This window comes from Homo sapiens, chromosome 18 (assembly GCF_000001405.40).
Source record: "Homo sapiens chromosome 18, GRCh38.p14 Primary Assembly".
NCBI classification, from domain to species: Eukaryota; Metazoa; Chordata; class Mammalia; order Primates; family Hominidae; genus Homo; species Homo sapiens.
Window position 1 is genome coordinate 62,041,067 of NC_000018.10, and position 12,070 is coordinate 62,053,136.

General features: G+C 39.0%; 1 protein-coding gene across 47 annotated transcripts in view; it reads right to left on the reverse strand.

Moving 5' to 3' along the window:
* Positions 1 to 12,070, reverse strand: part of PIGN (phosphatidylinositol glycan anchor biosynthesis class N) — a 169,442-nt gene that overhangs the window by 23,452 nt on the left and 133,920 nt on the right. For 30 of the 47 annotated variants that reach the window (XM_047437439.1, XM_011525894.2, XM_047437440.1 and 27 more), the window contains one exon: positions 98 to 4,913. The exons of 2 other annotated variants lie outside the window; for them this stretch is intronic. In XM_047437439.1, the coding sequence (XP_047293395.1) occupies positions 4,790 to 4,913 (124 nt within the window). In that variant the 3' untranslated portion in view covers positions 98 to 4,789. Of the gene's footprint in view, positions 1 to 97; positions 4,914 to 7,557; positions 11,892 to 12,070 lie in introns of those variants that run through there. 15 more of the 47 variants (XM_047437449.1, XM_047437462.1, XM_047437447.1 and 12 more) reach the window with 4 other exon arrangements.

A 12,070-nucleotide genomic window follows, 5' to 3' on the forward strand; every position in this document is an offset into this window, starting at 1 on the left:
ACTGATGTTTTCTTTTCATAGTTTTTTTAAATAACAAAGCATTATAAAAATTTAACTACTAATCACTTTCTACACTGTCAAATCATAAGAAAACAAGTTGAAATTTGGTGCAAATTTATTTTTCAGGTAAAAGATATAAAACATAAGGTATGAAGGCTTAGTCTATACTCTAGCAGGGCTAGACAATGAGCCATGATGAACCGAATGCAATCTGGTACCACTGGCCTTTCCCACATGAAAGACTAAATGATGACAGGTGTAATATATACAGAGGCAGGAAAAATTGCAGGAAATTGTAAAGTTTTCTCACATTAAGGGTTAAAGTAAAAATGGTATTCCAGTTCTCAGGGAAAAAAATTCAATCAACATACAACACCCTATTTTCAAAACTATGACAAATTAAGGTTTTAGTGCAAAATTATATGGAGACATTTCTTTTTGAGGCAGAGTCTCACTTTGTCGCCCAGAGTGGCACCATCTCGGCTCATTGCAAATTCCACCTCCCAGGTTCAAGCAATTCTCATGCCTCAGGCTCCTGAGTAGCAAGGATTACAGGAGCCTACCACCCCGCCGGGTGTGTGTGTGTGTGTGTGTGTGTGTGTGTGTGTGTGTGTGTGTGTGTGTGTGTGTGTGTGTGTGTTTAGTAGAGATGGGGTTTTGCCATCTTGGCCAGACTGGTCTCGAACTCCTGACCTCAAGTGATCCACCCACCTCGGCCTCCCAAAGTGCTGGAATTACAGGGGTGAGCCACCAAGCCCGGCTTTGGAAACATTTCTTATGTTTACCAATCAGGAAGAAAACTCTAAGACAGGGTCTGCTGTCAAGCTAGTGGAAACTTTTGGCATAATGCTATCTTCCTCCCTTCACAACGTACATCACAAGTTAAATTCCCTTAGAACTAATGTAAATATACCTATTTAAGGTGGTTTGACTAGATGTTTCTCAAATATATTTAATTAAGAAACTCTTTTCAGCTGGGTGAGGCAGCTCACGCCTGTAATCCCAGCACTTTGGGAGGCCGAGGCGGGTGAACTGCTTGAGGTCAGGAGTTCAAGATGAGCCTGACAAACATGGTGAAACCTTGTCAGTACTAAAAATATGAAAATTAGCCAGACGTGGTGGTGGGCACCTGTAATCCCAGCTACTCAGGAGGCTGAGGCAGAAGAATCGCTTGAACCAGGGAGGCGGAGCTTGCAGTGAGCTGACATTGCGCCACTGCATTCCAGCCTTGGCGAGAGAGCCAGAGTCTGTCTTGAAAAAAAAAGAAAGAAAGAAAAAAGAAACTATTTTTATTATGACATTTATTTGTATTACAAGGAACCAATGTTCTAAGGGACAATCTCTGATAAATGCTGCTGTGTGGCAAATAAATGCTGCAGTTCTGAAGGTAGAAAGTTGAGCAGTAACTGTAACCCGTTTTAAGTGTACCCAAGGAAATGAATAAGAGACACATCTCAAAGGTTCTTTTTGTTTCTTTATAGAATGAATATTAAGTACTTTTCATGAGTTTACCCAAGAGTAATAATAATTCTAGATTTTAGCCCTGTGAGGCCAATTAAAGATAATTTTGATTATTAATGTTTCCTTCTCATTTTTTTTTTAAATAACAAAGCATCATAAAGAAATCCCAGTCAAAAAAAAATGCTGCTGCCTGGAAAACATAGTGAAACCCTGTCTCCATCAAAAAATATTTTAAAATTAGCTAGGTGTGGGGGCATGTGCCTGTAGTCTCAGCTACTCAGGAGGCTGAGGTGGCAGGATCACTTGAGCCCAGGAGGCAGAGGTTGCAGTGAGCTGAGATGGTGCCACTGCATTCTAGCCTGAACAAGAGTGAGACCCTGTCTCAAAACAAAAACGAAAAAAAAAAAAACAAAAAACCATGCTTATACAGAAATGGGAAAATGCTACAAAGATATTGCCATAGTACTGAAAGCACACAGCATAACAATCATTAATGCTTTGAAGCATTTTAAAAACAGTAAGGGGAATGTCAACATAAAAAAGAACAACTACGAAAAGGTGAGAAATGATCAAGTTATCTCTGGTCTCTTAAAAGAAGGAGTTCTCAGAACTGGTCTGAAGGGGGTCTTCTCCAAATGACAGAGTTGATTAGCTCCATTCTCTTCAGCCCCCTGACATGATGGCATCTAGTGTGAATATGGGAGCTCACCAGGTTCTCCCAAGGACAGGGTGGCCCTGCAACAGCTACGCCTGTCCTAGAGACCATACCCACGCAATCTCCTTCATTCCCTCTAGGCCAGCTTCATCAGAAATCATGTTTTTAATGGCACAGTTATATGTCAAAAAGGAGGAGAAAAGGAGCCCCTAGTCCACCAAAACAAGTGTAAAAAGGTCGCAGGAGGGGAGGAGGATTGACACTGATGTTCTTAATATCTGAGTTGGCTGAAATTTGTAATAAGTTTTTCATGAGAAACCATATTATAATGGATGAAGAGCTTTTCTAATTCAGCTCTATCATTAATAAATAATTATAAAGACATTACTATGAAAATATACAATCATTTATAACATTATTTTCCTAAAAAATAAAAAAGCATTTTGTATTCTAAATACTGTACACTAAGTATAATAATTAACATATTGGAAAATGACAGACAAGCTGCAGCGGTTTCCTAAAGCCTTAGGATTCCCTCTAAGGTTTATTCATGGGCCCTCTAAGATGATAGCATGGCCTTTTTTTGGTTCAATATTTTCACAACTTGTTCTGCCTATTTTAATTCTTATAACAATTCCTAATTTAAACATTGTTAATCAGCAAATGTCCTAAGTCTTGATTCAGAAATCTATGGCATAGGTAGAATGAAAAAATAAATACCTTAAATAGAAATACTTTTTCCCTAACTCGTTTCTTTTTTCTGTTTTGCAACATAAAAATATACATTTCAAAACATTTAAAGATATCTGGGAAACTGCAACAGAAAAGGCTTGTTCCCATGTGAGTCTGAAGGGGCCAGTTACGGTGCAGCAAGGCGAGCCTGTGGCTGCAGGCACACAACACAAACTCCACAAACTCTATGATACTGTCAGAAGGAAGTTCAACCTATTCTACAGACTCACACTGACCTGAAAGGACAAAATTAAGAAAAAGATATGCCTCAAAGAGCAAAATAAAGAAAGATAAAAAAACTGAGCACCCTTTACAATGTTGTAATAAAATATTTATTAATTTCTCTTTATAAAAATTTGGGAAAAGATAAAAGGCAAAACTACACATAGAAAAAGGTCAGTGATAAGTGTTTATACAGTCAGTTTTTTCTGATGTGTGAAAAAAACTGATAAAAAAATCCTTTGAGGTAATATGAAAGTTCATGATTCTCATTCCATCAACATCACTGTTTGCTACCATAGCTTCTTAGTTGTCCAGCTAGATTTTATGCTATGAACTGATGCATGAGATTTCATAAAACATTAATACCTCTTTTTTATACTACAGTTCTTTCACTGGTATACCATAAAGTAGTATTACAAATAAATTATGACTATACTTCATCATAAATAGAAATTAAGAAAGTACACTTTGCCAAACTGATTTCTGACTTTTAAATTGTATTTATTCACTCCCCACCAATTTGAAAAATCTTGTAAATTACAGAGGGTTTCCTAGTCATTAACATGAATTAGTAATGCTATAACTTAATTCAAAAGCAATTACTTCTTAAAAATAGGGCGCATACCAGGAAAGCTTAGCATCAGCCAAAGCTACTAGCACACCACGGGCAAAAGGCCAACTCTGCAGGGATATGTAAAGGTCATTTTATGGATAATCCATATAAAAACTGCTCTCAAGATATTTTGCCCATTAGAATTTGTTTACAAATGGAAATCTAATTTGATGATTTTAGGCCTTTGTGCTAGAATCTCACAACCAGAAAGAATAACACCTTTAATATGAATTCTTATGATATTGTCAGAAAGTTTAACAGGAGTTATTTTAACTCCTGTTAAAATAATAGATGACAGTAAAAAGAAATTCAAAGGGAAAGAAACAATATACGAAAAAGCTATGGGGTAACAGATGTTGAGCCTACAATTAAAAACTATTTATTTTAAATGTTTTCCTATGTATAAGACAGAAATACCAAGCACTTTCTACTTTTGTGTTGTCAGAAATCCCAGGAAAATCCAGAAATGAAAAAAAAAAAGTGAAGGATAGACATGCATCACATGCATCTAGCTGGTTGACTGAGAAAACCTGAGAAATAGCACTAAAAAGGATAAGATAGCATTATTGCATACTAAAGAAATATGACAAATACCTGCAAACACTTTTTTTATTGAAGCTCTTGAAATAATACACCCTGACTGTCTAACAAAACCAGTGCTGAAAGCTGATAAATATTGACGGTGGCACCTGGTGATTTCCTTCCAGCTCAGCCACAGCAATGACTCTGGATGCCATCAGCACTGCCCCCACAGGCATATGCTCTCCTCTGGGTATGTGGGAAGTTGTGCGACTGGGGACCAGATTGCTGCAGGTGCTCTCAACATCACTGGGAAGAGCTGCCAGCCAAAGGAAAAAAATGAAAAAGGAGAATGCCTTCCTATGCTTTTCCACAGATATAATCACTATTTCATGCCTGCAAAACCTAGAAAAAAAAAGAAGCTCCTTTGTTCCAGATAACCTGTCAATTCGGAATTCCAAATACCATTTTCCTTACAGGAGTAGAATATACTATATATCCATATCCATCTTCTTATTGAAGCCTTGATGAGATTTTAGCTTAAAAGGAGAATCAGGATCCAGATGCTGAATGGTGCTTCAGCAACCTCACATGAAGTGACTTTTGGGTTTGCCACATAGTCTGAGTTTCTTCGTTGTGAGCAGCTGGGCCAGGCCATTGAGGAACACCAAAAAGATGGTCATGGACATGACAATCACATAGTGGCTGATGCTGCAAAAGGAGAAAAAGATGTTACAGGCAGAGAGAACACAGGTGAGGAAAATCATGAGATTCCTCTGAATGGTTTTAAATGGACAGATGAAAATCTCCACTTTCAGGAGCTGGAGTGGGTGTTCTTTACCTTATTCCTCCTGCTAAGTACAGCTGTCTGTTGGTATCTGGTTCCAGGACCTTCAAGTACAGCTGTCCATGGACTGGTTCCAGGACCTTCCACGAATACCCAAATCTTTGAATGCTCAAGTCCCTGATATAAAATGGTGCCGTATTTGCATATAAGCTATGTATATCCTCCTGTATACTTCAGACCAGGGGTCCCCAAACCTCAGGCAGTGGACTGGTACCAGTCTGTGGCCTGTTAGGAACTGGCTGCAAAGCAGGAGGTGAGTGGTGGACCAGTGACCATTACTGCCCGAGCTCCGCCTCCTGTCAGATCAGCGGCAGCATTAGATTCTCAGAGGAGCACGAACCCTGTCGTGAACTGTGCTTGCAAGGGATCTAGGTTGTGCACTTCTTATGAGAATCTAACGAATGCCTGATGATCTGAGGTGGAACAGTTTCATCCCGAAACCATCCCTCACCCCCACATACACAGCGGCGTGTGGAAAAATTGTCTTCCATGAAACTACTCCCTTATGCCAAAAAGGTTGGGGACTGCTTCTTTAGATCATCTCTAGATTATTTACAATACCTAATAAAATGTAAATGCCATGTAAATAATTGTTACACTATATTGTTTAGGGAATAATAGAAAGAATAGAAAGTCTGTACATGTTCAGTACAGATGCAATTAAAAAAATATTTTCAACCTATAGCTGGCTGAATCCATGATGTGGAACCCAAGGATACAGAGGGCTGACTATACAACTAAAAATGTTGGACACTATAAACAAACGTAAGACGACTCCAGGTGGTGGAAAGAGGGCAAACTGGTCAGTGATCTTGGGACCCAAAGAATTTCCTGAATTTTCTTTTGCAGGAAGACAGCAGCAACCTGGAAATGCCACTGGGCACAGACCAAAAAGAAATCCCCAAAAAACAATAATACCACCACCACAAGAGCCTATGCTCGCAGCTAAGGGACAGACAAGGAAAGGGGCAGCCAGAAAGACAGAAAATGTTTAGATATTAACTGATCTACTTCAGCCAAACACCACAGAAAAAATGTGGCTCCACCCCTACCTATTCCAGCATAGGCTGAGTGGGGAGCCCAGACTTCCATCCTCACCAGGCTATAATGGGGCACTCTAACTCCCCGGCTATGCCCTCCCCTCCACTGTCATGGTGTCAGGGAAGGCTGAGGAGGGAAGCTGGTACTTCTGTCCATACCTGGAGGATGTCAGTGGACATCACGTGGGGAGCCTAGACTTCCACCTCCATGAAGCAGTAATGAGGTCCCTCCCCCTCTTCAATGGGGTCATGTCAGAGGAGGCCTAGTGGAGAGCCAGGAATTCCACCTCCACTCAGAGGTAGAAAGGCCATTCCTTTCCTGACCATGTTATTAGTGGAGGTTGCATGGGAGGCAAAGGGGACCTCTGTCTTTCCCAGTCATGAAGGCAGTAGTGGAGGCCTTGCAGGGTGCCGTAACGCTGGTCCCTGGCAGGCAGCAGTAAGGAGCTCCCTCTCGGGTGCCAATGGAGGCTGCAAGGGGAACCTGGATTTCTAACCTCATCAGGCAGAAATGAGGTAGTGTCCCCTCTTCCCCTGCCATAGGAATGTCAGAAGCCAGTTAAAACAGGTTTAAATAAGACTGAGAATCTCATAACCAAATACCCAAAATGTCTAGGTTTCAAAAGAAAATCACTCACCACATCAAGAACCAGGAAGATCTCAAGCAGAATGAAAAAAGACAATTAACTGATATCAAAACCTAAATAACAGAGCTGTTAGAATTATCTGGCAAAAATTTTAAAGTGGTCATTATAAAAATACTTTAATGAGCAATTATGTACATACTAGAAACAAACACACAAAAAAACAGAAAATCTGAGCTAAGAAATAGGAATTCTCAGCAAAGAAGATGTAAATAAGAAGCAAATAAAGAAGTCTAGAACTAAAAAATGCAATAACCAAAATAAAAATTTCCATGGAAGTGCTCAATAGCAGAACTGAGGGGGCACAGGAAAGGATCCATGAACCTGAGGATAAAACAACAGAATTTACCCAGCCTGAAAAACAAAAATAGATGTTAAAAAAAAATGAACAGAGTCTCAGGGACCTGTGGACTGTGACAAAAGATCTAACATTTGTGTCACTGGACTTCTAGAAGGAAAAGAAAAAGAGGCTAAAAGAGTACTCACAGGAATAGTGGCTGAAAAGTTTCCAAATTTGGCAAAAGACATAAATCTTACAGAAGCTAAGCAAACCTCAAATAAGGTAAACCCAAAGCAATCCACACAAAGACACATCAAATTACTAAAAACTAAAAACAAAGAAAAGAATTTGAAAGCAGTGAGAAATGACACCTTACCTATAGGGGAAAAACAATTTGAATAACAGCAGATTTCTCATCAGAAAATATGGAAACCAGCAGAAAATGGTGCACCATTTTTCAAGTGTTGAAAGAAAAATAACTGTCAACCCAGAATCCAATAAAAATATCCCACGGAAATAAGGGGAAATCAGAATTCACAGATGAAAAAAAAAAACCAAATGAATTTATTGCCTGCAGACCTAACCTAAAAGAATGTCTGAAGGAAGTTTTCTTTTCTTTTTTTTTTTTTATTATTATTATACTTTAAGTTTTAGGGTACATGTGCACAATGTGCAGGTTAGTTACATATGTATACATGTGCCATGCTGGTGTGCTGCACCCATTAACTCGTCATTTAGCATTAGGCATATCTCCTAATGCTATCCCTCCCCCCTCCCCCTACCCCACAACAGTCCCCAGAGTGTGATGTTCCCCTTCCTGTGTCCATGTGTTCTCATTGTTCAATTCCCACCTATGAGTGAGAATATGCGGTGTTTGGTTTTTTGTCCTTGCGATAGTTTACTGAGAATGATGATTTCCAATTTCATCCATGTCCCTACAAAGGACATGAACTCATCCTTTTTTATGGCTGCATAGTATTCCATGGTATATATGTGCCACATTTTCTTAATCCAGTCTATCATTGTTGGACATTTGGGTTGGTTCCAAGTCTTTGCTATTGTGAATAGTGCCGCAATAAACATACGTGTGCATGTGTCTTTATAGCAGCATGATTTATAGTCCCTTGGGTATATACTCAGTAATGGGATGGCTGGGTCAAATGGTACTTCTAGTTCTAGATCCCTGAGGAATCGCCACACTGACTTCCACAATGGTTGAACTAGTTTACAGTCCCACCAACAGTGTAAAAGTGTTCCTGTTTCTCCACATCCTCTCCAGCACCTGTTGTTTCCTGACTTTTTAATGATTGCCATTCTAACTGGTGTGAGATGGTATCTCATTGTGGTTTTGATTTGCATTTCTCTGATGGCCAGTGATGGTGAGCATTTTTTCATGTGTTTTTTGGCTGCATAAATGTCTTCTTTTGAGAAGTGTCTGTCCATGTCCTTCGCCCACTTTTTGATGGGGTTGTTTTTTTCTTGTAAATTTGTTTGAGTTCATTGTAGATTCTGGATATTAGCCCTTTGTCAGATGAGTAGGTTGCGAAAATTTTCTCCCATGTTGTAGGTTGCCTGTTCACTCTGATGGTAGTTTCTTTTGCTGTGAAGAAGCTCTTTAGTTTAATTAGATCCCATTTGTCAATTTTGGCTTTTGTTGCCATTGCTTTTGGTGTTTTAGACATGAAGTCCTTGTCCATGCCTATGTCCTGAATGGTAATGCCTAGGTTTTCTTCTAGGGTTTTTATGGTTTTAGGTCTAACATTTAAGTCTTTAATCCATCTTGAATTGATTTTTGTATAAGGTGTAAGGAAGGGATCCAGTTTCAGCTTTCTACATATGGCTAGCCAGTTTTCCCAGCACCATTTATTAAATAGGGAATCCTTTCCCCATTGCTTGTTTTTCTCAGGTTTGTCAAAGATCAGATAGTTGTAGATATGTGGTGTTATTTCTGAGGGCTCTGTTCTGTTCCATTGATCTATATCTCTGTTTTGGTACCAGTATCATGCTGTTTTGGTTACTGTAGCCTTGTAGTATAGTTTGAAGTCAGGTAGCGTGATGCCTCCAGCTTTGTTCTTTTGGCTTAGGATTGACTTGGCGATGCGGGCTCCTTTTTGGTTCCATATGAACTTTAAAGTAGTTTTTTCCAATTCTGTGAAGAAAGGCATTGGTAGCTTAATGGGGATGGCATTGAATCTATAAATTACCTTGGGCAGTATGGCCATTTTCACGATATTGATTCTTCCTACCCATGAGCATGGAATGTTCTTCCATTTGTTTGTATCCTCTTTTATTTCATTGAGCAGTGGTTTGTAGTTCTCCTTGAAGAGGTCCTTCATGTCCCATGTAAGTTGGATTCCTAGGTATTTTATTCTCTTTGAAGCAACTGTGAATGGGAGTTCACTCATGATTTGGCTCTCTGTTTGTCTGTTGTTGGTGTATAAGAATGCTTGTGATTTTTGTACATTGATTTTGTATCCTGAGACTTTGCTGAAGTTGCTTATCAGCTTAAGGAGATTTTGGGCTGAGACAGTGGGGTTTTCTAGATATACAATCATGTCATCTGCAAACAGGGACAATTTGACTTCCTCTTTTCCTAATTGAATACCCTTTACTTCCTTCTCCTGCCTAATTGCCCTGGCCAGAACTTCCAACACTATGTTGAATAGGAGTGGTGAGAGAGGGCATCCCTGTCTTGTGTCAGTTTTCAAAGGGAATGTTTCCAGTTTTTGCCCATTCAGTATGATATTGGCTGTGGGTTTGTCATAGATAGCTCTTATTATTTTGAGATACGTCCCATCAATACCTAATTTATTAAGAGTTTTTAGCATGAACGGTTGTTGAATTTTGTCAAAGGCCTTTTCTGCATCTATTGAGATAATCATGTGGTTTTTGTCTTTGGTTATGTTTATATGCTGGATTACATTTATTGATTTGTGTATATTGAACCAGCCTTGCATCCCAGGGATGAAGCCCACTTGATCATGGTGGATAAGCTTTTTGATGTGCTGCTGGATTCGGTTTGCCAGTATTTTATTGAGGATTTTTGCATCAATGTTCATCAAGGATATTGGTCTAAAATTCTCTTTTTTGGTTGTGTCTCTGCCCGGCTTTGGTATCAGGATGATGCTGGCCTCATAAAATGAGTTAGGGAGGATTCCCTCTTTTTCTATTGATTAGAGTAGTTTCAGAAGGAATGGTACCAGTTCTTCCTTAAACCTCTGGTAGAATTTGGCTGTGAATCCATCTGGTCCTGGACTCTTTTTGGTTGGTAAGCTATTGATTATTGCCACAATTTCAGAGCCTGTTATTGGACTATTCAGAGATTCAACTTCTTCCTGGTTTAGTCTTGGGAGGGTGTATGTGTCGAGGAATTTATCCATTTCTTCTAGATTTTCTAGTTTATTTGCATAGAGGTGTTTGTAGTATTCTCTGATGGTAGTTTGTATTTCTGTGGGATTGGTGGTGATTTCCCCTTTATCATTTTTTATTGCGTCTATTTGATTCTTCTCTCTTTTCTTCTTTATTAGTCTTGCTAGTGGTCTATCAATTTTGTTGATCCTTTCAAAAAACCAGCTCCTGGATTCCTTAATTTTTTGAAGGGTTTTTTGTGTCTCTATTTCCTTCAGTTGTGCTCTGATTTTAGTTATTTCTTGCCTTCTGCTAGCTTTTGAATACGTTTGCTCTTTCTTTTCTAGTTCGTTCAATTGTGATGTTAAGGTGTCAATTTTGGATCTTTCCTGCTTTCTCTTGTGGGCATTTAGTGCTATAAATTTCCCTCTACACACTGCTTTGAATGTGTCCCAGAGATTCTGGTATGTTGTGTCTTTGTTCTCATTGGTTTCAAAGAACATCTTTATTTCTGCCTTCCTTTCATTATGTACCCAGTAGTCATTCAGGAGCAGGTTGTTCAGTTTCCATGTAGTTGAGTGGTTTTGAGTGAGTTTCTTAATCCTGAGTTCTAGTTTTATTGCACTGTGGTCTGAGAGACAGTTTGTTATAATTTCTGTTCTTTTACATTTGTTGAGGAGAGCTTTACTTCCAACTATGTGGTCAATTTTGGAATAGGTGTGGTGTGGTGCTGAAAAAAATGTATATTCTGTTGATTTGGGGTGGAGAGTTCTGTAGATGTCTATTAGGTCCACTTGGTGCAGAGCTGAGTTCAATTCCTGGGTATCCTTGATGACTTTCTGTCTCGTTGATCTGTCTAATGTTGACAGTGGGGTGTTAAAGTCTCCCATTATTAATGTGTGGGAGTCTAAGTCTCTTTGTAGGTCACTCAGGACTTGCTTTATGAATCTTGGTGCTCCTGTATTGGGTGCATATATATTTAGGATACTTAGCTCTTCTTGTTGAATTGATCCCTTTACCATTATGTAATGGCCTTCTTTGTCTCTTTTGATCTTTGTTGGTTTAAAGTCTGTTTTATCAGAGACTAGGATTGCAACCCCTGCCTTTTTTTGTTTTCCATTTGCTTGGTAGATCTTCCTCCATCCTTTTATTTTGAGCCTATGTGTGTCTCTGCACGTGAGATGGGTTTCCTGAATACAGCACACTGATGGGTCTTGACTCTTTATCCAATTTGCCAGTCTGTGTCTTTTAATTGGAGCATTTAGTCCATTTACCTTTAAAGTTAATATTGTTATGTGTGAATTTGATCCTGTCATTATGATGTTAGCTGGTTATTTTGCTCGTTAGTTGATGCAGTTTCTTCCTAGCCTTGATGGTCTTTACAATTTGGCATGATTTTGCAGTGGCTGGTACTGGTTGTTCCTTTCCACATTTAGTGCTTCCTTCAGGAGCTCTTTTAGGGCAGGCCTGGTGGTGACAAAATCTCTCAGCATTTGCTTGTCTGTATTTTATTTCTCTGAAGGAAGTTTTCTAAACAGAAATAAAACAATAAAGAAAGAATCTGCTAAAATTATGAAGGAAAAAGAACTCAGTAAGTAAAAATCTGGGTAAAGACAATAAGTTTTCCTTGTCCTCTTAAGTTTTCTAAATTATATTTGCTAGCTGATGTGAAAATTCTAATACTGTATGACATGGTTTCAAATGTGTGT